The sequence below is a fragment of the Homo sapiens genome, chromosome X, assembly GCF_000001405.40.
Source record: "Homo sapiens chromosome X, GRCh38.p14 Primary Assembly".
NCBI lineage: Eukaryota > Metazoa > Chordata > Mammalia > Primates > Hominidae > Homo > Homo sapiens.
This window is the reverse complement of record NC_000023.11, coordinates 149830112-149857555: the sequence shown is the minus strand read 5'-3', so window position 1 is coordinate 149857555 and position 27444 is coordinate 149830112. Positions and strand designations below refer to the sequence as shown.

Genomic DNA, 27444 nt, shown 5'->3' with positions numbered 1-27444 from the left:
CCCGTTTCTAAGAAAGATAATCAGAGTATGACTATTTTGATAGCAAAATAAGTTTAGTATCATCAAACTTGGCCTGATTATTTACTTAAGCGCAGTAAAGATTGTGATTAGCCAAATAAGCTCTTTTTAAAGGTTGCTCTGCTGGAGCTTTTAATAAGGATTCTCAGATTACACTTTTCAAAGCCTCTTCATGCTAGGAAGCCAAACCAAGGCAGACTTCAGACTGCCTGCTATACAGATTTGGGTGAATTCCTCTCTTCTCCGGGTCCCCAAAATATTTTGAGGTCCCTGGGCCTTCAGGAAGTGACTTTTTTTTCTCACTCAGTATAAGGCTAGGAACCCTCAAAGCCATGAATTCTATGGACTTTCCCAAATGTGGTGTCCCAGTGACTGTCTTGGTAATATAACTAGTATTGCCAACTGTATCCTGTTATAAAGAGAGCAGATTGTGATTGAACTTATGCAAACAATATCGCCATAAAAACTAGAAAATATATATATTGTTTCTGATTCCTAGAGGGACCAAGTAGACAGAAAAATTAAATGATTTCAATTTTGTTCACAAAATTATACTTTACCAAATTATAGTGAGCCCTAGATACCTTAAAATAAAGAAGTTTCCTTAAATCTGGAAAACAAAACATTAAAATAAAGAAGCAAGAAAATTCCAAAATAAAAAATATGAAAACATTATCCTCATCAGTTCATTTATTCCCGTGTAATTAATTCTTGTTCTGCTTGATGTTGGAGCAATGGTTTCATGAAGTCATCAGTTTCTTCATTAGATTTATGGACATTCTTATCAAGTCCAATGGTATGATCTTAAAGTTACCAGAATCCTGTACTTTTCAGAATCTTTTCCATGAGTCTTTTTGAAGACAAAGCACTTAAGGATTACAGTTGCTGGGCCAGGCGTGGTGGCTCATGCCTGTAATCCCAGCACTTTGGGAGGCCGAGGCGGGTGGATCACCTGAGGTCAGGAGTTCGAGACCAGCCTGGCCGAAATGGTGAAACCCTGTCTCTACTAAAAATACAACAATTAGCTGGGCGTGGTGGCAGGCTCCTGTATTCTCAGCTTTTCAGGAGGCTGAGGCAGGAAAATCACTTGAACCTGGGAGGTGGAGGTTGCAGTGAGCTGAGATCACGACACTGCACTCCAGCCTGGGCGACAGAATGAGACTCGATCTCAAAAAAAAAAAAAAAAAAGAGGAAAAAAAATAGGATTACAGTTGCTTGAAAAAGCATTCAAAAATAATTAACTGTGGGTGACAAGACTCGAAATGGTCATGGTTTAAAATCTGATGAGCTCATTCTCAGCAAACTATCACAAGGACAGAAAACCAAACACCACATGTTCTCATTCTTAGGTGGAAATTTGACAATGAGAACACTTGGACACAGGGTGGGGAACATCACACACTGGGGCCTGTTCGGGGGTCGGGGGCTGGGGGAGGGATAGCATTAGGAGAAATACCTAATGTAAATGACTAGTTGATGGGTGCAGCAAACCAACATGACACATGTATACCTATGTAACAAACCTGCATGTTGTGCACGTGTACCCTAGAACTTAAAGTGTAATAATAATAATAAAAATCTGATGAGAGTGCATTATAATGATGACACTGTTGATAAGGAAATTTGGTTATTTCTGTGACATACAACATTTTAACATAATGGCTGAAATGATGACTGATAACGTATCAGTTTTCTAGGAATCTCATGCAACTTTTGGAGTGCATATTAGTGACATCTATAAAAATAGAGTCAAAGTAGGTTAAATATCACTTTTTATTTGACAATGTGTCCCAATAATTTAACTTATCAAATAAGCCTAATTGGTTTAATATCTCCCTTCCTTTGAAGAGGTTTAGGAGCCCTTTGGAATGTTCTAACATTAATTTAGGATCAAGAAAGACTTAATTTAGGATATGATTTTGAGAAGTTTTTGAAAGATGTCACAAGGTTTAAAGCACTTCACTAAACAGTATCACCAATCATTATGAAACAAAGACAAATACAGATATGTTACATAGCTTTCAAAAGACTTAGGTCTCTGAAGATTTATAAGACTAATTTTTTTTAAAAAAATCAAAATACCTGATAAAAGACCCATAAAAAGACAAAATACCTTATAAAAGACGACAAAAAAATCCTGACAAAACACTGAATTTATTATTTTTTTGTTCCTTAGGTAGATCACTGAAAGGATATGAAAATGTTTCCTAGTCTCTTATCAACACTCCAAGGAAATACCCATTTTCAAAAGCAAAGACCCGATTCTAGTTTTGCATCAGGGTACTTTTGATATTAAAGCTCATTCAAAAAAACCTCTTATAATAAATTTATTCCGTTTTAGCATGCTTGACCCCACATGAAATTCTTTTCACAATCCTATTATGTTCTTGTATCTCTTTGGTCTTTCATATACTTTTTCACATTGTGGAACAATCAGTCATTCTATTTTAGGGTAAAAATTGTTCTCTTTTTCCCTTAAGGCAAACACAGCATCATACATATGCCTTTTTTTAAAATAAGATATGCCTTCCTTTCCTCACTTATAGAGTTGTTTTCCTTTATTTTAGTTTTAGTTACCACATGTTAGAATTTTCAAAATCCCTTATGATCTTAATTTTTATGTGAAACTATACAGGAGGCAATTTTGAACTGTCATATGCTAACATTTTATAGATATACTTTTCATATCACAATTTTTTTGTTTAACAACAGACTCAAATATATTAAACTTCACTATACCTATAAAAATAAGCTTCCAAAGTATCGATACTTTATATTTATGTTCAGCAATTAATGTTTCAATAATTTAACTTGCTTAGGAATGACTTAGACATTTTATGACTATCTATTATTTCATTTAACATAACATAATATTAAGATGCCCAGTGATGAAACAAGATTTTTTTTTCAAGTTTTATTTTACTTTCAGGGGTACATGTGCAGGTTTGTTATATAGGTAAACTTGTGTCATGGGGGCTTGTTTTACAGATTATTTCATCATCCAGGTATTAAACCTAGTACCATTAGTTATTTTTCCTGATCCTCTCCTTCCTCCCACCCTCTACCCTCCAATAGGCCCTAGTATGTGTTGTTACCCTCTTATGTGGCCATGTGGAAAAATATTTTTGAAACTATGGAAAGCTTACTTATAAAGTTTATTCCATTTATATTTACCTAATTTACTCATTCTTAACAATTCAATTGCTCATTAAGCAAAGCTAGCTATTGGAGGAGTTCATAAAATGCCAACCTACAATGCGTTGCTTTGGTATACTAATCACTTTGAGCTTAAGGCTGTTGAAGAATAGCAAAATGTAAGGCAAGGCTCTCTGAATTCCCCTTATCTATCTAAAGACAGATCCTTCAAAAGGAACTCAACTGTCATGAGTCCTCTGAAGATGACTCTTATCACATAATAGGAGGTCAGAAGTCGACATTACACCCAGACAGACCTCCTCACAAACCACCATCTGTTCTTCTAAGAGACCATTAATCTTCCCTCCACATCAGTTACTCTGAGGATGTCTCTTCTTCATCCCCTGACCATTTTACCCACTCCAGTGAGGGGGTTGAATCAAGGGACCCTTGCCCTATTCTTGATCCACCTACCTGATTGTTGCCCTGAGCAATTCTTACCTGAGCACTTCTTACCTTGTCATCTCTGCCTTGTGGTTTTTAAAATTTTTACAGAAAGGGAGAAACAGAGCACACTTGTTTGGGGTACTGCAAAGTTGGGGAACTAGCAGAGAGTTTCTCTGGTCCATTCAACTATTACTAGATTTAACCTTTTTTCTAACTGCATTACTGTCGTTTTAATTCATCCAATTTTTAAGAAAGAAAAATTATCCTAAATTTGCATCTCAAAAGGGATAGTTCTTAGGTAAATCAAAGTAGGAAACTTACATGTCAAAGGCACAGGACTTAGATTTCAGGACTGAGTTCCTTTACTTGCCAGACTGAAAAGGAACAGTTAGGAAGTCCAGTAAAGACAAAATGGTAAAAGGTGAGGCTTGTCTAAAGCAATACTTTCTCCCACTGCAAGAATTTCTGGTGATTTTCTAAATGCCAGAAAGTCGTATTTTGGAGACTGATTTAGTTCGATGTGTGGTATTTTCAACTCAGCTTCTGTTTCTCAACTAAATGACCGAGTTTAAGGCAATGTTCATTAAGGAATAGTGCAGGCAAAGCATTTTCTATAGCTGGAATCATCAGCATGGATAGTTCTGAAAAAGAACCAAGCCTGCTTGTCCTCGACTTAACTTATAAACGCCTTATCTAGCTTCCTTTCTATCTTTGGAGCAGGAAAGTAACTAAGTGAAAATGTTGGCAGATTCCATTTTCCTGTTAATTACCTACTTAAACTTTGCATTTGTTTTCTATAAGGGATTTCTTAAAGAGGCAAGGCTTAAAAAAATCTTTTTAGAAGTTTGTGCACATGAATAGTCATCCGTGTGGGGGCCTATTTCAGGAGGCCTAACTTTCTTTTGACAGGTAATTTGGATCTTTATTTCAGTAATTGTCCACATATTGTGGTAAACACTCTTGTTTTTAACAAGATCGATATCTGCAGAAACATTGTTTGACACTTTGTTAGAAGCAAAGTGTCTTTTTCTAATATGATGGATACATATTATTCCATTGAAATCAACAATTGAGAGTCAAGTTTGATAATTGAAAGACCTTGTTGATTCTAATAGAATCTAAAATAACTGCTTTTTTCTAATGATCAGTGATCTTGAGCTTTTTTTGTTCATATGATTGTTGGCCGCATGCATGTCTTCTTTTGAAAGTGTCTGTTCATGTTCTTTGCCCACTTTTTAACGGGATTGTTTGTTTTTTTCTTGTAAATTTGTTTAAGTTCCTTATAGATGCTGGATATTAGACCTTTGTCAGATACACAGTTTGCAAAAATGTTCTCCCATTGTATAGGTTTTCTGTTTACTCTGTTGATAGTTTCTTTTGCTGTGTAGAAGCTCTTTAGTCTAATTAGATTTTGTCAATTTTTGCTTTTGTTGCAATTGCTTTTGGCAACTTCATCATGAAATCTTTGTCCATGCCTATGTCCTGAATGGTATTGCCTAGGTTGTCTTCCAGGGTTTTTAGTTCTGGATTTTATGAGATATCATCTAATAGCAGTCAGAATGGCTATTAATAAAAAGTCACAAAACAACAGATGCTGGTGAGGTGGCAGAGAAAGAGAAACACTTATACACTGCTGGTAGGACTGTAAATTAGTTCAGCCATTGTGGAAGATAGTGTGGCAATTCGTCAGAGACCTAAAGACAAAACTACCATTTTACCCAGCAATCCCATTACTGGGTATTTACCCAAAGGAATATAAATCAGTCTACTATAAAGACACATGCATGTGTATGATCATTACAGCAGTATTCACAATGGCAAAAATATGGAATCAACCTAAATATCCATCAGTGAGACTGGATAAAGAAAATACACCATGGAATACTATGCAGCCATAAACAAGAATGGGACCATGTCCTTTGCAGGGACATGGATGGAGCTGGAGGAGGAGGCCTAATTTTTAAGCACATTTTTGGGGTGAACAACCTTGTTCATCTGAAATGTTCACATGATGGCCATTGTAAGTCTAAATTATCCTTATTAAGATTGTGCCATTTTTTAAAGAGCTTGCAGATTCTGCTGCCTAATACTTATACACATAAAAAGCAAATATAGCCAGAAGGTGGAGGACACAGGTCTCTGGAAAGTAAAGATCTCAGTAAAAATTGTTTTTTCCATAGGTTATTGGGGTGCAGGTGGTGTTTGGTTACATGAGTAAGTTCTTTAGTGGTGATTTGTGGGATTTTGGTGCACCCACCTGAGCAGCATACACTGCACCACGTTTGTAGTCTTTTTTCCTTCACCCCCTCCCACCCTTCCCCTACAAGTCCCCAAAGTCCATTGCATCATTCTTATGCCTTTGAGTCCTCATAGCTTAGCTCCCACATATCAGTGAGAACATACGATGTTTGGTTTTCCATTCCTGAGTTACTTCACTTAGAATGATAGTCTCCAATCTCATCCCAGTTGCTGTGAATGCTGTTAATGCATTCCTTTTTATGGCTGAGTAGTATTCCATCATATATCTATCTATCTATCTATCTATCTATCTATCTATCTATCTATCTATCATCTATATATCTATATATATCTCATATATATCAGATATATATGAGATATATATATATATATCTCATAGTTTCTTTATCCACTCGTTGATTGATGGGCATTTGGGTTGGTTCAACGACTTTGTAATTGCGAATTGTGCTGCTACAAACATGCGTATCTAAGTATCTTTTTTGTATAATGCCTTCTTTTCCTCTGGGTAGATACCCAGTAGTGGGATTGCTAAATCAAATGGTAGTTCTACTTTTAGTTCTTTAAGGAATCTCCACACTGTTTTTCAAAGTGGTTTTACTGGTTTACATTCCCACCAGCAGTGTAGAAGTGTTCCCTGATCACCGCATCCACGGCAACATCTACTGTTTTTCGATTTTTTGATTATGGCCATTCTTGCAGGAGTAAGGTGGTATCACCTTGTGGTTTTGATTTGCATAAGGACATGAATAGATGATTCTCAAAAGAAGATACACAAATGGCCAAGGTCTCATTTTTATGTTGACTCTTGGGTCTTTCAGAGCTGACATCAAAGTCTAAGAAGGAAATGCCTTGGGATTGGGTCCTGGATTGCTTTCTAGTGAACCTTCCCGCATGGATGCTGTCTTGAAGTTGGTGGGTGACATGGTATTAAACTTGTTTCATGACCAGCTGATCCTAACATGGATGTCTTATTTACAGGTGGTGAGTGCTCTAATCGCTCCTAAGTGCCTAAACCATGCCCACCAGTCAGATCATGGCTGTGACTCTGAGGTCCCCTTGACTAATGTAGCCAATGAATCTCTCATACTATGCACACACACCAAAAGGAACTGGAAGAACCAAATCTCTGCAAATTTCCAAAAGCCAGAGTCACACACTGCATGTGGTAAGCTTCTCCCACCATCAGTTACCTTTAAAACTGCAAGTCTTGTCAGTGACTTGTCAGCCCCACAAACCCCCAAGAAACTCATGTGCTCTCTCACCGGACACATGAATCCTGGAATCAAGAGCCAAAAGTATCAGGGGAATCAATACAAAAATGTGACCCTAGAGGAACTTATAACCCTTGTGTCTGTGAGAGTGAAAGGGGACTCAAAAGCTGTCAGCGGCATCTCCCCTGCATTTGTCAAGGGGTCTCCAGAGTCATCAGCAGTGCCTTTTGGGTCCTATCATGGGTTGCCAGAAACTGCTAAAAGAACAAATAACAGCAAATCAATTTAAAAATCAAACTGGCTTTTATTTGCAATACTAGAATTGGGCAACAGCACATTCTATAAAATAGAATGAGTGTGCCAATCAACCGAGAGGAGGAGGTTGGCTTTGAAGGCAGAAAAGGGCTGAAAGAAGCAGAAACAGAAAAAAAAAGAAAGCAGGTTAGTCATTTTGAATTTATGTTCCATTTAGGGTTAAAGAAGATATTCCGCTGACTCAGGGACTCAGGTTAATGGGAAGATTCTGTTTTTTTGTTTTGTTTTGTTTTTTGTTTTTCCCCATTGGAAAGTTCAGGATCATTACTTAACACTCAGCACAAGTGACCCCATTCTGGTTGGGTGTGGTCAGCTGGGGCTTAGGACAGGAGGCTAGTTCACAGCAGTGGCCTCTTGTGTAGGTTGTTTCACTCAAGCCCCTGAGTTAATGGAGCTTTCTAAAGGAGGCTGTGCTAGCTTTCCTAAACAGCCAGCTTTCCTCCCCCTCTGTAGACAGGAACATCTGGATGCTAGTGGTTTACACTGGTTTTCTTTTCTACAATATCTTAAATGATTTTCATAGAAAAGCTTGTCTGTGAGGAATTGTAGTATTAAAATTCTCAATCGATATTTAGTGCTTGGATTTGCCTTCTCTCTCTCTCTCTCTCTCTGTATGTGTGTGTGTGTGTGTGTGCTAAGCTTTTCAAGTATGGAAACTAGAACATGTCTCTGTAGGTGATAATTCTTGCCTCTTGGGGTCCCTGGAGAAAGGAAGTCCACATGGAAAAGAGAAGCAATCTTCAGGTGGAGATACATCCTCAGAGATTTAAAAGCAGTTTTCAGCCTGTGTTATATACACGTACCAAAGATGACCTGTGTGTAATCCCTAGGCTGGATGAATGCCTTGGTTGTCGTTTAGACATGGGATGTTGCTGTTGATTGGCCTTGAGGCTCCTCGGCTATCCTGCAGTACCGCTGGTGTTTCTCTACTCTTTTTCTTCACAAGACTGAGACCTGTTGGCTCCGAAGCCCACCAGCACAAAACTCAATTTTTCACACGTTTGATCGTTTGAAACATGGCACTGCCAAGCAGATTGTTAGGCATTCAGAGCCTACCTGGCTTCCATACCCTGCTAAACTTCACCCCACATCTGCTAACCATAGATAAGATAGAACCTTGTGGTTAGGAGACCTCAAAGCCACTTTGTCCAGCTACTGATACACAGCAGCTAGACCTGTAAGGCCCTTATCCAATTCCCACCTCCTCCAGCAGTTCTCCTGCCTTCTTACATGTCTGATGGTGACCCCTGAACTATAAACTCTGGACAGCCCTCTGCTCTGAGGATATCCCCTCCCCAGCACCCTATCCAATCACCACCCAATAAAGCTGCTTTGTGTGGTACAGCCTCTGGTGGTCCTATCATTTTCCTTGATCAACCCCCCCAGGCGCACACAGTGTGAAATGAGCTCTTATGAACTCAGATATCTGACCCTTAGAGGCTGATGATTGAGCTGAGTTGCATGATTTGAGGGGGTCTGTTTGGACAAGGCCAAAAGGCCTTAGGAAAGCACACCAGGCAGGCATCTCACGGGGACATGGAATGCTGATGTTGTCTGGCCTTGCAGCATCTCGGCTTTCTTGTGCTGGAGAAACCCCCCTGACTGTTTTGGATTCTGAATTCACAGATCTCAACAGGCTGGGCTTGACTCTAAGTTAAAACCCAAATTGTCCACCCTGAGCTGTTTCAGACTCGCCACAAGCTGTGCTGGATAGAAAGCAGGCGTAGCTCAATGCAATAAATTAGTCTTTGACACTGGAATCTTGATTGTTCTGGGCCCTACTCCATGGGGTTCAAAACTGTTGCAACCTGCATGCAGCCCTGGGCCATCCACATCTCTTGCAGATGCCCATGATTTAGGGCTTGTTCTCAGGTGGGACCCACTAGAGTGGGACTGCTCATGGGCACTGTATTTCTGATTCAGGCGGATTGCACTTCTAACCAGTCATGGTGGCCAAAAGCTGCACATCGGGAGAGGGCACCCCACAGAGACTGTGATCCCTCTGCCCACTCATGACGGATCAGTCTCGAACCCCTTCTCTGGGATGCCCACTGCTGGTGACTCGTGTTTGACAACCTACATCAGTTACAGGTTGGTATAGCAGATGGACAGCCTGACTTCACTTCCTCTCTCTCCTCCTGGTCCACATGCCAGGCAATGGGGTCATCAAATGCAGCGATGCCCAGGAAGGGATGAGTTTTTTCTGCTCTGCTCACTGCATAAATAGGGGGGATGGAAAGGGATATGTAAACCCATTTTGAAATCTTTTCAAAATGCAGGATTTTAAATATGATGGGTTTTTCTGTCCACATCTTGTTTTATGACAGTGTTTTTGTCCCTGTTACATACAGCCTTGCTAGGTGAGAAGGCCTGAGAGAAGGTATGAGTGATTGAGGGAATGTAAAGTTTTTATTACTGAGTGAGCCACGTTGATTTTATAAGGGTGGAGAAAAACACAAGATATCTGTGGAGGTGAGAGGGAGAGCACTGTGGTCTTAGTGTTGCAGAACTGTTCCTGGAAGGTTTCTTCCCTTGCTGAAGGAAAACTCCCCATGCTGCCTTTGCAAGCTGCTGCAAGCTCTGTGACTCCAAACTGACAGCTTCACCTGAGCCCATACCTGACGCCATACCTGACCCCACTGACTAGGGGAGAGAGGCGGTGGCTCCAGCCCCTCCATGTTCCCCACGGAGCACCTGCAGTTGTCATCCACAGTAGTCATGGACAAGCCAAATTGTCTGCAATGAAACCAGGGACTGAACTGGATTATGTGGCCTGTACTGGATACCCCGTGGCTGGCAGCAGCTGCCACAGAGGAAGGCCACAATGAGGCCTTGATGTCCTGTGCTTCCTGACTTAGGTACACTCTCTTGGGGTGCCCAAACCATGGTACACTTGGTGTGTGCAGGGACACCATGTGTGCCCTCATGTATTGTACATCCTGTGTGCCCTGCCTGTCATGACACTGCCTCAGGCCTGGATGACTTTCAGATCAGCTCCAACTTACTGACCAGAGTTGTATTCTACCTGAATTGATGCCCTCGGCTAGGTAAAAGGAAACCATTTGTACTAAAATTTAAGGAGGGAGCCATTTGGTTGTCTAAGATAGTCCTGTGTGGTTAATGGGGTTTGTGTTGACTGGTTCAATCCAGGACTCCTAACAGGCATAAGTGATATCTGTATGCAGCTTGATTACACCCTGCTGTGTCCGGTCCTATTGATAATTTCCTGTAATATGCCTTGACCAATGGGGTGCACTGTGCAGAAAAGACTGCACACAGCAGGCTTCATTCCTCTACTTAGAACAGCCTATTACTTTCAACGTTGTCCATTGGCTGGATTCTGAGGACTTGGATTTGGGAGGGATTTCACTTTTCTCAGAACTCATTATACCTAAACTATGTATGGAAACAAAAAGCTGCACAGTGCTTTCCTCCTGGGAGTCTGGAATTTTGGTCCATGCCTGGGAAGAACCACTTGTGTGACCAGCCCAAGTTCAACTCATGGGTGATGAGGTTTTACTGAACTCCACTGGTTGGCAGCATTTTACATGTGTGGTCACACCTTGTTGTGAGGGAATTAAGTGCATTCTGTGTGACCCTACTGGGAGATGAGATGACTCTGGAAACCTGTGTCTGGTCTCCTGCACTTCTCCCTGTGCACCCTTTCCCTTTGCTGATTGTGCTTGGTACCCTTTCACTGTAATAAGTTGTAGTCATGGGTAGGACTATATGGTGAGTCCTGTGAGTTCCCCGTTAGTGAGATACTGGACCAGATTTAGTGGTTTGGGGTCCCCCATTTGGTCCATATGCCCCATATCTGGCATATCCATCCAGCCCCTCCATCTCACACTCCAGGAAGTTCAGATCAGGACACTACTGAGAGGAATCATAATGGACAAGCTTGCTTGAGTGTTTCTTAGATCTCAGGGACTCTTCTCAATGCTTTTTAAAACATCTAATATATTCCTCATCACTCACCGTTGAGATAGATTCTATCTTTTCACCAATTTTGTGAAATAAATCCTTGGTTTTCTCTATGCAACTTTTCTGTAAATCCAAATCTCTTCTCATACCAAAAGTTCATGCTTCTATAAAGTAAATGGTACCAGGAGGTTTGGGCAAAGAAACTAGAAGTTGAAGTAAAATCAGTATGGTGGTAAAATTTTTGTGCTTTTTTTTCCTCCTCTATCTCCAAGACTGAACTCAAAGGCTGCCCAAATTTCTAAATTGCACATGAGGTGTGGACAAAAAGAGTTTTATGAAACAGGTCTCTGTCTATGGCCCAAGAGCTAGGAAGGCAGGCCCATACAGTATACAGGGAATGAGGGAAAGAACATTTGGATCCTGCTGGCCCAGCTCACAGATTAGCTCCAGTCCTGAATCTGTATCCTGTGGCTGCAGCATCAACCACAGCTGGAAAAGCATCTAAAAATCTCAAGGAGGGGAATCCTACTCTCAAACAAGAGATTTTGTCCAAAAAAGTGTGAGAAGATTGGAAGGTGGTAATGAGTAGCACTTTTGCAGGTCTCAGCCCAGGGCACAGGCCAATAAAAAGACTGAGACTTACTCATAGGTCTGTGGAACACTTCCTCTTTGCCACACCTTACCAGTATGTCAGTAGGACTCCTGTGTAATAGCAGGGGAATAGCACTGAAACAACTTCATATCTCAGATTTCATTTAAGAATAAATATCTAGGGAAACTCAACACAAGAGCAGAAAGTTTAACCTCTGAAACCTATGGCTCCAGGAAACCGTAAACACAGTTGCACTCCTAAACAGACAAAAATAAACTGTAACTATAAAGGCTTATTTTCCTCAATTCCATTTACCTAGTACGTTATGTCTGGCTTTCAACTGAAAAAGGAGTTACAAAGCATTATAAAAAAAGAAAATACCCAGTTTGAAGAGACTAAATATCAAACAGACTCAGGTACGGAAGAGATGTTGGATTATCAGTCTGACAATTTAATACCAGTATGGTGAATATGCTAAGGGCTCTAATGGAAAAAGTGAATAGCATGCAAAAATAGGTTGGTAATATAGGCAGAGAGATGTAAACTCTTTGAAGCAGAGTCAAAAAGGATATGCTAGAAGTTGAAAATACTATAAAACCATCAGTAAAAGAAAATGTATACCTATTGGACTTCATAAAAATTAAAAACTTCTGTGCATGAAAAGATATTAGGAAGAGAACCACAATGCAATCCACAGACCAGAAACAAATATTTCCAAATCATATATCTGATAAGAGATGCACATGCAGCATATATAGAGGACTCCTAAAATTCAACAACAACAGAAAACAAACCAATTCAAAACTGTGGAAAGTATTTGATTAGAAATTTCTGCTTAAAAGCTATGGAAGTGGGCAGTAGGCATATGAAAAGATACTTAATGAAACTAATTATTAGGGAAATACAACTCAAAACCATAGCGATATACCACCTCACGCTCACTAAGATGGCTACTATTTTTTTTAAAAAATGAAACATCAACAAGTCAGGAAATAAGTGTTGGCAAACGTGGTGATATTGGAACATTTGTGTCTTCTGGAATGTAAAATGATATGACTGTTATGCATAACCCTGTGTGATTTCTCAAAAAATTCAAAGTAGAATTACTATATAATTCAACAATTTCACTTCTGAGTATGTGTCCAAAATAAACAAATACACAGACCTACATTTTTGTGTACTGAAAAATATGGTATTATTACTCACAATAGCTAAAATGTAGAAGCAACCCAAGTGTCCATTGCTAAATGAATAGAGAAGCAAAATGTGGTATATGCATACAGTGGAAACTTATTCAGCCTTACAAAGGAAGGACATTCTAGCATACATTACAACATGCATGAACCTTGAAGATATTATGCTGAATGAAATAAATCAATAACAAAAAGACAAATACTGCATGATTCCATTTACACGAGATACTTAGAGTGGTCATATTCATAGAGACAGAAACTAGAAAGGTAGTTGCTAGGGGAGTTGGGAAAAGTGAATGGGGAGCTATTGTTTAATGGTTATAGTGTTTGTTGTGCCAGAGAAAAGAGTTCTTGAGATGAATGGTGTAGATGGTTGCATAATAATATGAATGTACTTAAATATCACTGCTCTGTAAACAAAAACTGGTTGAGAAGGTCAATTTCATGTTATGTATCTTTTATTAAGAAAAGAAAGAAACCCCTACTGTAACAAAAATGAATAATGCCTTTGATTGGCTCATCAATAGACAGGACAGGGCTGAGGAAACAAGCACAAGCCTGATGAAATGTCAATATAAATTTTCAAACCTGAAATGCAAAGAGAAAAAAGAAAGGAAAAAGACAGAACAGAATATTCAAGAACTGTGTGACAATTACACATGGTATAAATATGTATAATTGAAATACCAGAAGGAAAAGAAAGAAAGAAAGGAACAGGAGAAATATTTGAATTGGCAATGGCTGAGAATGCCCCCAAATTAATGACAGACATGTATTCACAGGTCTAGGAATCTCATAGAACACCAAGTAGGATAAAAACTAAAAAGTATACATCTACACAAATCATAGACAAACTGTAGAAAATCAAAGAGAAAAAAATATTGAAAGGAGCTGGAGGAAAAAACAAGTATCAGAGGAATTCCTATTGTTATTTTACTCTATCTTCCTGCTTCCTAGTTTCCTAACCAAGCCCTTTAAAGGGAAATGCACAATAGTATGAGTAGACAAAAGACCCACCTTCTAGTGAGAAGGTCAGAGGGCGTTCCCTGGGATCCAGTGGACATGGTGAAGATCACTGAGAATAATTGATGTGGTTTGAATTTGTGTCCCCACCCAAATCTCATGTCAAATTGTGATTCCCCAGTGTTGGAGGGGGGACCTGATGGGAGGTGACTGGATCATGAAGGTGGATTTCCCCCTTGCTGTTCTCATGATAGTGAGTGAGTTATCATGAGATCTGCTTATTTGGACGTGTGTGGCACCTCACCCTGCTCTCTCTTCCTCCTTCTCTGACCGTGTAAAACATTCCTTCTTCCCCTTTGCCTTCTGCCATGATTGTAAGTTTCCTGAGGCTTCCCTAGCCATGCTTCTTGTACAGCCTGTTAATTAGACCTTTTTTATTTATAAATTACCAAGTCTCAAGTAGTTCTTTATAGCAATGTGAGAATGGACCAATACAGAAAATTGGTACTGAGAGTGGGGTATTTCTATAAAGATATCTGAAAATGTGGAAGTGACTTGGAACTAGGTAATAGGCAGAGGTTGGAAGAGTGTGGTGGGCTCAGAAGAAGAAAAGATGAGGGAAAGTTTGGAGCTCCCTAAAGACTTGTTAATTTGTTGTGACCAAAATGCTGATGGTGATATGGTCAATGAGGTTTAGGCTGAGAAGGTCTCAGATGGAAATAAATAACTTACTAAGAACTAGAGCAGGCCGGGCATTGTGGCTCATGCCTGTAATCCCAGCACTTTGGGAGGCTGAGGCGGGCAGATCACCTGAGGTCAAGAGTTCGAGACCAGCCTGACCAACATGGAGAAACCCCATTTCTACTAAAAATACAAAATTAGCCGGGCACGGTGGTACACGCTGTAATCTCAGCTACTCGGGAGGCTGAAGCAGGAGAATCACTTTAACCCGGGAGGCGGAGGTTGCAGTGAGCCGAGATCACACCCTTGTACTCCTGCCTGGGCAACAAGAGTGAAACACCATCTAAAAAAAAAAAAAAAAAAACTAGAGCAAAGGTTACTTTTGTCATGTGTTAACAAAGAGTTTGGAAGCATTGTGCCCCTGTTCCAGAGATCTATGGAACTTTGAACTTGAGAAAGATAATCTGGAACTGGTACTTATATTTTAAAGAGAAGCAGAGTATAAAAGTTTAAAAACTTGCAGCCCAGCCATGTGGTAGAAAAGAAAAACCCATTTTCTGGGGAGGAATTCCAGCTGGCTGTAGAAATTTGCATACGTAAAGAGGAGACAAATGTTAATTGTCAAGACCATGGGGAAAATGCCTTGAAGGCATTTCAGAGAACTTCCTGGCAGCCCCTCCAATCACAGGCCTGGAGGCCTAGGAGGGAAGAACAATTTTGCCACCAGGCCCAGGGCCCTTCTACCATGTGCAACCTCAGGACATCGCTCCCTGTGTCCCAGCCACTCCAGCTTCAGCTGTGGCTAAAAAGGCCACAGATATGTCTCAGGATTCTGTTCCAAAGGGTGTAAACCATAAGCCATGGCAGCCTCCACATATTGTTAAGCCTTCATGAGCATAAAGGGCAAGAGTTGAGGCTTGGAAGCCTCTACATAGATTTCAGAGGCTATATGGAAATGTCTGCTGCAGGGCTGCAGCCCTCATGGAGAACCTCTGCTAGGGCAGTGCAAAGGAGAAATGTGGGGTTGGAGCCCCTACACAGAGTCCCCACCGGTGCACTGCCTAGTGGAGCTGTGAGAAGAGGGCCACCATCCTCCAGACCCCAGAATAGGAGATCCACTGACAGCTTGCATCATGTACCTAGAAAAGCCACAGGCACTCAACACCAGCCCGTGAAAGCAGCTGAGGGGGCTGTACCCTGTAGAGCCACAGAGGCAGAGATGCCCAAGGCCTTGGGAGCCCACCCTTTGCATCAGTGTTGCCTGGAAGTGAGACATAGAGTCAAAAGAAATTATTTTGGAGCTTTAAGATTTAATGACTGCACTGCTAGATTTCAGACTTGTATGGGGTCTGTAACCCCTTTGTTTTGGCTAATTTCTCCCTTTTAGAACAGGAGTATTTAGTCCATGTCTGTACCCTCATTGTATCTTAGAAGTAACTAACTGGTTTTGGTTTTACAGGCTCATGGGTGGAAGGGACTTACCCTGTCTCAGATGAGACTTTGGACTGTGGACTTTTGAGTTAATGCTGGAATGAGTTAAGACTTTGGGGGACTGTTGGGAAGGCATGATTGTATTTTGTAATGTGAGGAGAACATGTGATTTGGGATGGGCCAGGGGTAGAATGATATGGTTTGGATTTGTGTCTCCACCAAAATCTCATGTCAAATTGTGATCCCCAGTGTTGGAGTGGGGCCCTGGTGGGAAGTGATTGGATGATGGGGGTGGATATCCCTCTTGCTGTTCTTGTGATAGTGAGTGAGTTCTCATGAGATCTGGTTGTTTGGAAGTGTGTGGCACCTCCTGCTGCTCTCTTCCACTTCTCTGACCATGTAAGACATGCCTGCTTCCCCTTCACCTTCCAGCATGATTGTAAGTTTCCTGAGGCCTCCCAAGCTATGCTTCCTGTATAGTCTGCAGAACTGTGAGTTAACTTCTTTTTAAAAATAAATTACCCAGTCTCAGGTGGTTCTTTATAACAACACAAGAACAAACCAATAATGGCAGCAAATGTAAGAAAGAACACTTTAAATTTGATAGAATTTCCTGCATCAACCCAAGGTGCCCATGCAGGAATCTTTCTATTAATCTAGGATTGGAGAACTGGACTAGAGATAGAGCATTACCCAGTTCTCAACCCTGAGCAGGACCACTCACAACCCATGGATTCAAATATCATGACAGCAGCAACAGCAGAATGTATAATACATTTTTTCCAGCACACATGCAACACTCACCAAGCTGGATTATCTTCTGAGTAGTGGAACACACAATAAACTGATCATGAGGTCAGGAGATCGAGACCATCCTGGCTAACACGGTGAAACCCCGTCTCTACTAAAAATACAAAAAATTAGCTGGGCGTGGAGGGTGCCTGTAGTCCCAGCTACTCGGGAGGCTGAGGCAGGAGAATGGCATGAACCCGGGAGGCGGAGCTTACAGTGAGCCAAGATCACGCCACTGCACTCCAGCCTGGGTGACAGAACGAGACTCCGTCTCAAAAAAAAAAAAAAAAAATTGAAATCACCGAGTATGGTCTCTGGCCTTTCATGGCATCAAATTTGCAATCAAACAATAACATTAATACAGCAGGAAAATCTGAAACCACTTAGAAACTAAATCACACAATCTTCAACAATTCAAGGATCACACTTAATCTCAACAAAATAAAAAATCCACAGAACTAAGTTAAACTGAAAAAGCAACATATCACAACTTGTAGGATGAAGCTAAAACAGTGTTTAGAGAGAGAATTACAGCAGTTAACACTTAGATTAAGACTTTTTAAAGGTCTCAAATAATCTAAGCTTCTACCTTAACTAACTAGAAAAAGAAGAAAACAAATTAATTCAAAGCAAGCAGAAGTAGAAAGTCAATAACTGATATTAAAAAGAGAAAATACATAGGAAAAAAATTAAGAAACCAAAATCTAGTTCTTTGAAAAGATAAAGAAAATGGATGGAACTCTAGTCATCCAGACAAAGTAAAAAGAAGACACAAATTATTCAAATCAGGAAGGAAACAGGAGTTATCATTACAGAACCTGCAGACATTAGAAAGGTAAAAATGAAATACTGAAAACAAATATATGCAGAAAAATTCAAGAATTGAGATGGAATTGGTGATGAAATTAAATAAATTTCCTCTAAACTCAGAAACTACCAGAACTCATCTTAGCTGAAATGGATAACCTGAATAGTACTCTAGCTAATAAAGTAATTGATTTCATAGTAAAAATGTTTTTGAAAATTAAATATGTAGACCCAGATATGTTCACTGGAGATATCTTACAAACATATAAGGAAAACGTCACACTCATCTGGACACTAATACAGCAAATAAAAGAGAATGGAATGTTTTCTGAATCTTTTTATCAGGTTAACATTACTGAGCTATTACCAGGCCAGCAGTACAAAAAAAGAAAAAAAAGAAATATAAAGGAAAAAATTAGAGGCCAATATGCTTTATAAACATAGATGTGAAAAATCTCCATCAAAACCTTTTTGAATAGAGTACAGCAACATCTAAAAAGTGGGATTTTTCTGGGAAATGGAAGGCTGGTTCAATATTTGATAATTAAGCAATATAATTCACTATCTCAACAGACTAATGAAACTTATGATGATTTGAACTAAAGCAGAGAAGAGCATTGAGAAAATACAACATATTCATAATCAGAAGTCTCAGAAAACTAGATGTAGAGAGGAACTTAACCTGACAGAGTACATATACCAAACCCTAGAGCAAATATCAATGTAGGGAAAGACTAAATGCCTTCCCCTAAGAGCATAAACAAGAAAAGTATGTCTCCTCTCACCACTCCTATTCAGCAATGTAGTGGGATTCTTACCAGTGAAATCAAACAAGAAATATAAATAAGCAGCATCCAGAATGGAATGGATTAGACAACACTATTTCTAACCTCAGAAGACATCCCTGTCTATGCAGAAAATCCCAAGGAAACTGCACAATAACTTCTCAAACAAGTGGGTGCAGCAAGCTCACAAGATAGAAACTCAATATACAATAATCATATTTCTATGTAATGGCAAAAAAAGTGGAAAATTGTTCTTGCCATTTCTTCAGGTTGTGTCCTTTGCTCTGCCTAGTCTACTGTTCAGCTCATCAAAGTCATTCTTCATTTTCGTTATAGTATTTTTTTTTATTTTTAGCATTTCCTTTTGACTCTTTTTTACAGAGTTTCTATCTTTCTGCTGATATTACTTATCTGCTCTTGGACATTATCTACTGTTTCCTCAGAGACCTCAGCACATCCCTCAAAGTTGTTTTAAATTCCTAGTCAGGGCTGGGCATGGTGGCTTGCGCCTGTAATCCCAGCACTTTGGGAGGCTGAGGTGGGCAGATCACGAGGTCAGGAGATCAAGACCATCCTGGCTAACACGGTGAAACCCTATCTCTACTAAAAACACAAAAAATTAGCCAGGTGTGGTGGTGGGCATCTGTAGTCCCAGCTACTCAGGAGGCTGAGGCAGGAGAATGATGTGAACCCAGGTGTGAACCCAGGAGGCGGAGCTTGCAGTGAGCCAAGATTGCGCCACTGCACTCCAACCTGGGCGACAGAGCGAGACTCCATCTCAAAAAAAAAAAAAAAAATTCCTAGTCAGATTATTACAATATCTCTACCATATGAGTCTGTTTCTAATGAATGCTCTGTCTCTTCACACTGCGTTTCTTGTGTATTATGGTTTGAAATTTTTTGTTGCAAATTTGACGTAATGGAATGGATAAAAACAATGGAGTTAAATAGGCCTTTAGTGTGAGGCTTTATGTTCATCTGGCTGTGTTTACTGTTTGCTGTAGCTGTAGGTGTCAGAGGCTAAACCTCCCTGTGGTATCCTTCATTTTTCCTCCTTGGTTGTGTTTGGTTTTCCTTGGAGACTTGCTCACTATGATCTGGCACTCACAGTTCTTTCAGTTTCATTCCCCCATTGATGTGGCAGTGAGCTGTGGAGGGAAGGAAAATGTTCTATCCTCCTATGACTAGGTGTCAGGCTTGAATCAGTGTGCCCTGGGCTGTAGCTTTCACTAGTGCTTCTCAGTTTTGTTTTCTCCTTGAAGACACAAAAGGCTGGATGGTGTTGTAATTGGATATTTCCCTTCCCACAGGTTGGTTAAAGTCTAGAAAAAAACCCAGCAAGTTAGACTCTGGAAAAATAATTTATCTGGTAAGAAGAACAGAACACTCTGGGCATATTTTCTAATGAATTCTTTCCAATCTTTTTACAGGAAGTAGGAAGGGATTTTTCTGACCAACTCTACTGGACTTGGCCAAATCCAAAGGAAAGTTCCAAATTATGGGGAACAAGGTCTCTGAATTGGCTAAATTCATGCAGCTGGAAAAAAAAAAAAAGAAAAGAAAAAAAAACAAGAATTTGATTACCTGTGGTGCTTTATTTACATAAGAAGGCCACCTTTTAGTAGACAAGCCAAACTGAAACAGCAATGGTTGTAGTACACTAGCTAAGCTTCTGCCTTTTTTTCACAAGACAGCCTGCATTTGTTCCTAAATCAAGTCCTTTCTGGTTTGATATTTTTGTTACTTTTGAAATATCAGCAGTTTGTCCCAGCCAAAATATGGTAATGAGATTTAAAAGGATTTTTTTTAAAGAGCACAATGGTTAAAAATCAGCTTAATTAAAAGCTAAGATCCAAGATATATATGTTTGTGTGTGCCTGTGTGTGTGTGTGTGTGTCTGTCTGTCTGTGTCTGTGTATGTGTTATATATAAAGTTTCGGTGCCACAAAAGGAATAGCACTCAAATATAAAATTTTCTTTTTAATTCTCAGCAAGGCAAGTTACTTCTGGTGAGCGCACACTTGGACAAGGGAGGGGAAGGGGTTCTTATCCCTGATGCACGTGACACCTGCTGTGTCATTCCCCTGTTAGTTAGGGTTAGACTGCAGAGGCTAAACTAATTCCGATTGGCTAATTTAAAGAGAATATCGGGTTGAGTGCTTTGGCAGGAGTCAGGACAGAGCAGGTAGCAGGTAATCTGAATGAGTTAGGGTGGAGCAGGTGATCAGAATGAGTTAGGGTGGAGCAGGTGATCAGAATGAGTCAAGGTGGAGTGGGAAATAGAAAAAGGTTGCTTTACGAGGAAGTTAAGTTTAAAAGTAGAAGGCAAAGAATTGAACATACTGACATATTATTTGAAAAGAAATTTAGAACTCATATCTAACAACTCCTCCCCTTGTATTTCCTTACAGCTTTCTTTTCAAACTTTTTTATTTTTTTAACATGTCTTGGCTTAGTTGTTTTGCTTGGTTTTCCAAAGAAGAAGTGTCTCTGGATAAAGTGGAGGATAGTTAAGGGAGGTTTTAGTAAGTGCCGTTTTTATGAGCCTCTGCATCAACTTACAGATGCATGGTATGACACAGCACCCAACAAGAATAAGTACACCCATTACGCTGCAAGGGAAATAAGAATCGAGGCTATTATTCCTTTCCATTTACTGAACTACTTTTCTAGCCATCCTGTAAAGGGACCATTTACCCAAGTTGCTGGCTAGCTCATTGGATAGAGCAGTCAGACCTTGCAGTGCCTTTGTTATACTTCCACTAGGGGTGGTGTTGTTTGGGATGAAGGTGCAACACTGAGTTGTAATCATGATGCAAACTCCTCCTCTTTCTGCTAATATCATGTCTACGGCTATCCTATTTTCCTAAGCCGTCTCGCTAGCAGCCGCTAATTGTTCAGCTATTTAACAGCATCTCTAGTGTAGTTAATAAATTGCTGTTGGTTGCAATAGATGTAGTTTATCCAATCTACATTTTTATTAATTGTCATCCACCAAAGTATTGACTCAAATCCTGCAGCTATTTGATTTCGGGCTTTAAATTGATCTGGTATTCCCTGTGGGACTTTAATTGTGTCTAAATAGATGTGAGAGTCAAAAGACCCATAAGGGGCTTCTATTGCTTTATGGTGTCTTATTTTTTCCTTCCTCTGGTTGATGAAATGCCAGGGTGAAAGGGATAGCCAATTGGACTAAAGCACAAGTGCCACTCCAGTTATTTGGCAGTGTTCAGTAAAGGTCCACCACAATACTACCACACATCCACTTGGGGATGAACAAGGGCTGACTGATTGATAAGCTCTTGAAAATTCTTAAGCTCACTGCATCCCTTCAGGTCTCCGAGTAATGCTAAGTTTCCTCCCTGTAGTGAAAGACACGAAGTGAACTTGGTGTTGGGAGACAGAAGCTGGATGGCCCTCGGGGTCTCACTCGCAGGGTGCCGGACTTTGGGATATAGCAGAGAGGGAGCTTGGCACGACTTATTACTCCAGGCTGTAGAATCCTGGAAAAGAGCTACCATGCAGCCCATACCTTGTCAACTGGAGGACCACCTTAGTCGAAAAGGGACAATCTGGGCCTCTGGCCTGCCGTGTGCAAAGCATAACAATTGCTTTTGTTTAACATGTGGACCGAATATTTGATCCATTCCAACCAGGCATTTGCATCTTGGTATCCTGTCTTAATTGCCAAAGTTTGTTTTAAGTCTTTAACTTCTATGATCCTCTAGTAAAATGAATGTATAGTTTTAGGAAATTACAAAAACTGGTTGGGGCAGTCCATCCTTGCTCTTTAGTGGTCCAGAAAACGTTGGACCAACTACTGCATAAAAGCTGTACATCAGGGAGCAAGACTCCTGGTTAACACTGGAGTCTTTATCGAAATCTCCCCAGATTAAATGGTCCTAATTTACTAATGCCCAGTCTGAGGAGAGTCAGGAGGGACAGAGGTACTTTTCTGAAGTAGAGAGCTGTCTTTGACTTGGCAAGTCCCCACAGGGTGTAACAAGGCAAGCATCAAATCCAATAGTTTGAGGTGAAATTGACTTAGTTATGTTAATAACTAGATGGTCAGCAATAGAGTGAGGAAAGAAGAAAGAGTAATAGAAGAGGTGAAAGAGAGTTAAATTTTTCTTAGCTTTAGTTTGGTAGGGTTTTTCCCTGAGACTATGGCCCACAACTCTGGAGGGGGTGGCACTTTCTTGACTTGGGTGTGATGAGTCCATCCCTTTTTCGCTGTACCAACAGCAGTCTTGGTGGTTAGCAGTACAAGGTAGGGTCCTTCCCAGAGTAGCTCGAGTTTTCCTTCTTTCCACCCTTTGATGAGATCATGATCTTCAGGCTGGTGCTGGTTTACTGTAAACCAGGGGTGGTACCTGTGCTAAGACTTTTAGTTTTGAGGGAAAGGAAAGTGGAAGATAAACCAAGTATATAATTTCTAAGAAACTGACCTTTTGTTTTAAATGTGAGGACATCAGCAGTGGACTTTATAGTCCTTGGTGCCTTCTTACTGAGAAATTTCTTTTCGCACCCATTTTTATTAGTTTTTAGACCAAAGAAAGCCAAACATCATTTTATATTTGACAATGCTTCCTGTATGATTTTTATACCAGATAAGCTAAATTTCACCTTTATATTAGTGTGTTATTAATGTTAAACTTAGTTTTAATAAAACTTTGTAGACATACTTATTCGATTTTTAATGTCTGACCATAAGGTAAGATTTTTATAGACTCTTTAACCTTTTATATTTTTTGTTAAAGAGCAGGTTAGTGCTTTCAGAAAAACCTGCTGTGCTTTTATTTTGCTGTTGTTTGAAATGCTTGTTCCCCAGTGCTGTAAATAAATAGCACTTGAACATAAATTTAATTTATTTAATAAGGCCATTTTTACTTCCTACAGAAAGGGTACACTCGCCAGCAGTTTTGCCATGAGAGTACACCAAACAAAGGAGACAGGGTCATTTATAACCTGACATGTCCACCCTACTGCTGTGTCTGGTTTCCATTGGCTGGAACGGGACCTCACATTCTTTATTTGTCCCGATTGGCTAGCAACTTAGAGCTTTTTAAAAGAGGCAAAGGTAGAGGAGAACAAAGGAAGGAGGAAGTAACTTGTGGAATGCTGAGAAAGGTAAAAACACTTTTAAATAAGGAAGAGGAACAGGCTATGACCTAATGCTTGCTTGGACCAGTATAAGCATGCCAGGGCAAATACTTAGGAGCACAGGTCTTTGAATAAATTTTGCTTCTAAGAGAAGTTACTATTTATTCCTAATTAGATAGGGAGGAAAGTCTTTGAAGAGGAACCTCTACTTTACTTTTTACAATATTCCCCCTCTTTTTATTTCATAATTTCTCTTCAAACTTATTTAATATGTTTTGACTTAATTGCTTTGTCCCTGTAAAAGAAGTAATTTTTTTTTGAATAGGGTGGAGGAGAGTTAGGAGTTAACTCTGTAAGAGTGGCAGAGACAAGTTTTTGCATAAAACTTTGAAGGCAGGGAATAATATAACAGTCTACAAGAATAAGTACACCAATAATAAGAACGAACAAGGTGAGAATTGAAGTTAAATTTTTTTTTAATTTATAGTTACCTATTAGAACAACGTGGATTTAAATTTTGCATCTATTTGATTTTGTGCTTTAAAATTATTTGGCAGTTCTCACAGGACCTTAATAGCATTTATATAAACCTGAGGATTAAAGGACTTACAAGGAGTTTTCCTTGGCCTGCGGTGTTTTGTTTTTACCTTTTTAGATGGATGAAATGCCAGGGTGAAGGGGATAGCCAATTGGATTAGAGCACAAGTACTGCTCCAATTATTTGGCAAAGTGTCTAGTAAAGATCCTCTACAGGATTACCATACATTTGCTTGGGGATGGCTAAGCATGGACTGATGGGCAAGCTCTTAGAAAGGCTTGAGCTCTTTATATCCTTTTATGTTTCCAAGAAACACCAAATCTTCCCCCTGCCATGAGAGGTACAAAGTAAACTTGGCATTTAGAGGTGGAAGCTGGATTGCCCTCAGGGGCTGGCCCACAGGGGGTTGAACTTTAGGAGATAGCAGAGAGAGCTCAGTAGGATGGATTATTCTAAGCAGTGGGATTTTGAAAAAGAGCCACCGTACAGTCCGTATGTGGTCAATGGGGAGACCATTCGAATGGAAAGGGGATAATCTGGGCCTCTGGCCTACCGTGCATACAAGCGTCATAATCGCTTTTATTAACGGATTATTTAATCAATTTCAGCCAGGCATTTGCAATTTGATATTTTGTCTTGACGGCTGTTTGTCTTAGGTCTCTTATTTTTATAATAGACACCCTAGTTTTATTAGATGTAGGAGCAACCGGTGTGAGATCTAGAACTGAGGCTACTGAAGAAGGGGAAGATGGGGGAATAATGCATATTTTAAAAATACTTATGGGGGTCTTTTCCATTTACGTCAATCCTTATACTATAGAAGCGACTAAGGGCAGGTTTAGAGTTAGTTAAGGTGGAGGTGGTGATAGAGAGAAGGACGGGGTTATATTGATAAGGCTGACAGTTAGAAGGGGTAGTCCTTTTAGTGAAATAGATGAGGGATTTTAGATCTGCACAAACCTTTTTCGTGGAAGTTTAACTTTGCTCCTGAGTAGTTTAATGGATGTAGTCCCATTTACTACAAGGTTGCCAGCCTGTAGGAGCAGAAAATTGGCATCTTGGCTGCATGTGATTACAACAATGAGTGCTAGGGGTAACCGTGTCAATTAGAGGGCTGGGACATAAATATTTGTGTGAAAAGACTAGCTGTTGTTGATCTTTTACATTTCCACAAGGTATGACAGCGCAAGCATTAAAGGCAATGGTTTGAGGTGAGTTAGATTTAGTTACATTAATAACAAAGGAGCTAGTAACAGAATAAGGAAAGGAAAGGAAGCAATATAGAAGGTATATGAAAATTAAGCTTTCTTTAACTTAGTAGGGCTTGATCCTAGTACAGTAACCCACGATTTTGAGAGGAAGTTTTTTTTGACTCGAGTATGGTGGGTCCATTTTTTTTTGTCTTGGCTGTGCGGACGGCAGTCTCAGCAGTTAACAGCATAAAATAGGGTTCTTCCTAGGCTGGCTTGAGTTTTTCTATCTTTTGATGAGGACGTGGTTTTCAGGCTGGTGCTGATGTACTGGAAATTCTAGGGGTGGCACCTGTGCTAAAAGACTTTTAGTTCCAAGGGAAGGAAAAGTGGAAGATAAGTATATAATTTTTGCTGCATATTCTGGGGCTTGAGGCCTCATGGTGACGCCTCCTGCTCCATTCTTGCTCAGTGCCACCTAGGGGATGCTGCAGTCCTGCCCCTTCTTAATGTCTTGGCCTTCTTGTGGCCTTCACTGCCCCTGTGCACTGTGACCTTGAGGATGAGGGGCCTTGTGACTTACCTGGCTGCCTTTGGGCCTTAAGAAAGCTAAACACCATTTTATATTTGACAATGTTTTTTATATGATTTTATACCAGATAAGTTAAATTTTATCTTTATATTAATATGCTATTAATGTTAAACTTAATTTTAATAAAATTTTGTAGACATTATCTAATTTTAATGTCTGACTATAGTTAAATTTTATCTTTATATTAATATGCTATTAATGTTAAACTTAATTTTAATAAAATTTTGTAGACATTATCTAATTTGAATGTCTGATTATAAGGTAAGACTTTTATAGACTCTTTTTAACTTTTTATAATTTTTGTTAAAGAGCAGGTTAGTGCTTCAAGAAAGATCTATTGTGCTTTAATTTTAACGTCCAGTTCAGAAAAACTGGATGATACCTCTTTAACTTTAGCCAGTATGTTTACACACAGAATTTCCTTTACAATTAACTTTTTAAAACTTGCTTAAACCTTTAAAACAAAAAAAAATTTTAAACCTTTAATGTAGGTAAAAATCCACATTCTTATGCCTCCTTAAAATCCTGTTATTAAAAGTATATTTTATGTTTCTTACATACCTTGTACATAAACTTTTTAAAAATAATTTTACATTCAGGAGGCCTAATTACTTTTAAATTATACAATATTTCTTGCATAAATTCCCTTTTATAGCTTTTCTTACAACTTTCACAATCTGCAACATGTCTTAACTTTGTGCCTTCCTTTTACACTATTTCTTTTTCTAGTTTCACCCTCTATGTCTTTGATTTCTGTCTCTTCCAGTTTCTCTTACTTACCCTTTCCATTTCTCTTTCTCTCTCATTTGCACTGTATTTCTCTCTCTCTCTCTCTCTCTCTCTCTCTCCCTCATCCTCTGTCATCCTTTGTCATCCTGTTTCCCTTTCTTTTCCCGAGTTCTCTTGCTCCTGCCGTGAGCGGGGACCAGCCACGGCCGCCCCCTACGCGTGCGCGGCCGGCTGTTTCTCCTGTGTTCCCCCCCTTTACTTTCTTTTTTTTCATTTCTTTTTACACTTAGTTTCTCGGGCTGGGTGAGATTTGCGTGGCTGCAGTCTGGGCCTAGGGCAGTCACCAGCCTAGAGGCTTGGCAGATGCCTGCCGCAAATTGCAAGAATTATGCCCTATTCACCTCCTCTGCTCTCCTCCCAGCAAGGGTCCACCGCCCTCTTTTTCACATAGACTGGGGCTGGGGAGAGGGACTTAACCCTTGGCGTGCCTGCCTCGCTGTTTGGCTCTGTGACTGCTGTTTTTGCTTGCTTTCTCTCTTCTCTCCTAAGTTCTTTTTCTTCTCTGCTGGTCTTTCCTTAGTCTCTGCCAGCCACCTATGCTGCTGTTTTTCCTTCTCCTTTCCCTTCCCTTAGGGGAGGGACCGGCGGGAGTGGAGCTACTCTTTCTTCCCCTGAGAAGAAAGGAAAGGGGGGTTTCTAAATATTTTTCTTACTTCCGGAGGTTTGTGTGAGGTTCAAC

General features: G+C 39.9%; 1 long non-coding RNA gene across 1 annotated transcript in view, besides 3 other annotated features; it reads right to left on the bottom strand.

Annotated features, from left to right (window-relative positions):
- Positions 1-27444, bottom strand: part of LINC00850 (long intergenic non-protein coding RNA 850) — a 54092-nt gene that overhangs the window by 22244 nt on the left and 4404 nt on the right. The gene's annotated exons all lie outside the window — the stretch shown is intronic.
- Positions 26983-27102: an enhancer, noted in NCBI's record as "active region_30020". NCBI's record gives its function as "activates an Ori minimal core promoter by ATAC-STARR-seq in GM12878 lymphoblastoid cells {active_cell/tissue: GM12878}" and the evidence as "EXISTENCE:reporter gene assay evidence [ECO:0000049][PMID:35858748]".
- Positions 27123-27192: an enhancer, noted in NCBI's record as "active region_30019". NCBI's record gives its function as "activates an Ori minimal core promoter by ATAC-STARR-seq in GM12878 lymphoblastoid cells {active_cell/tissue: GM12878}" and the evidence as "EXISTENCE:reporter gene assay evidence [ECO:0000049][PMID:35858748]".
- Positions 27213-27352: an enhancer, noted in NCBI's record as "active region_30018". NCBI's record gives its function as "activates an Ori minimal core promoter by ATAC-STARR-seq in GM12878 lymphoblastoid cells {active_cell/tissue: GM12878}" and the evidence as "EXISTENCE:reporter gene assay evidence [ECO:0000049][PMID:35858748]".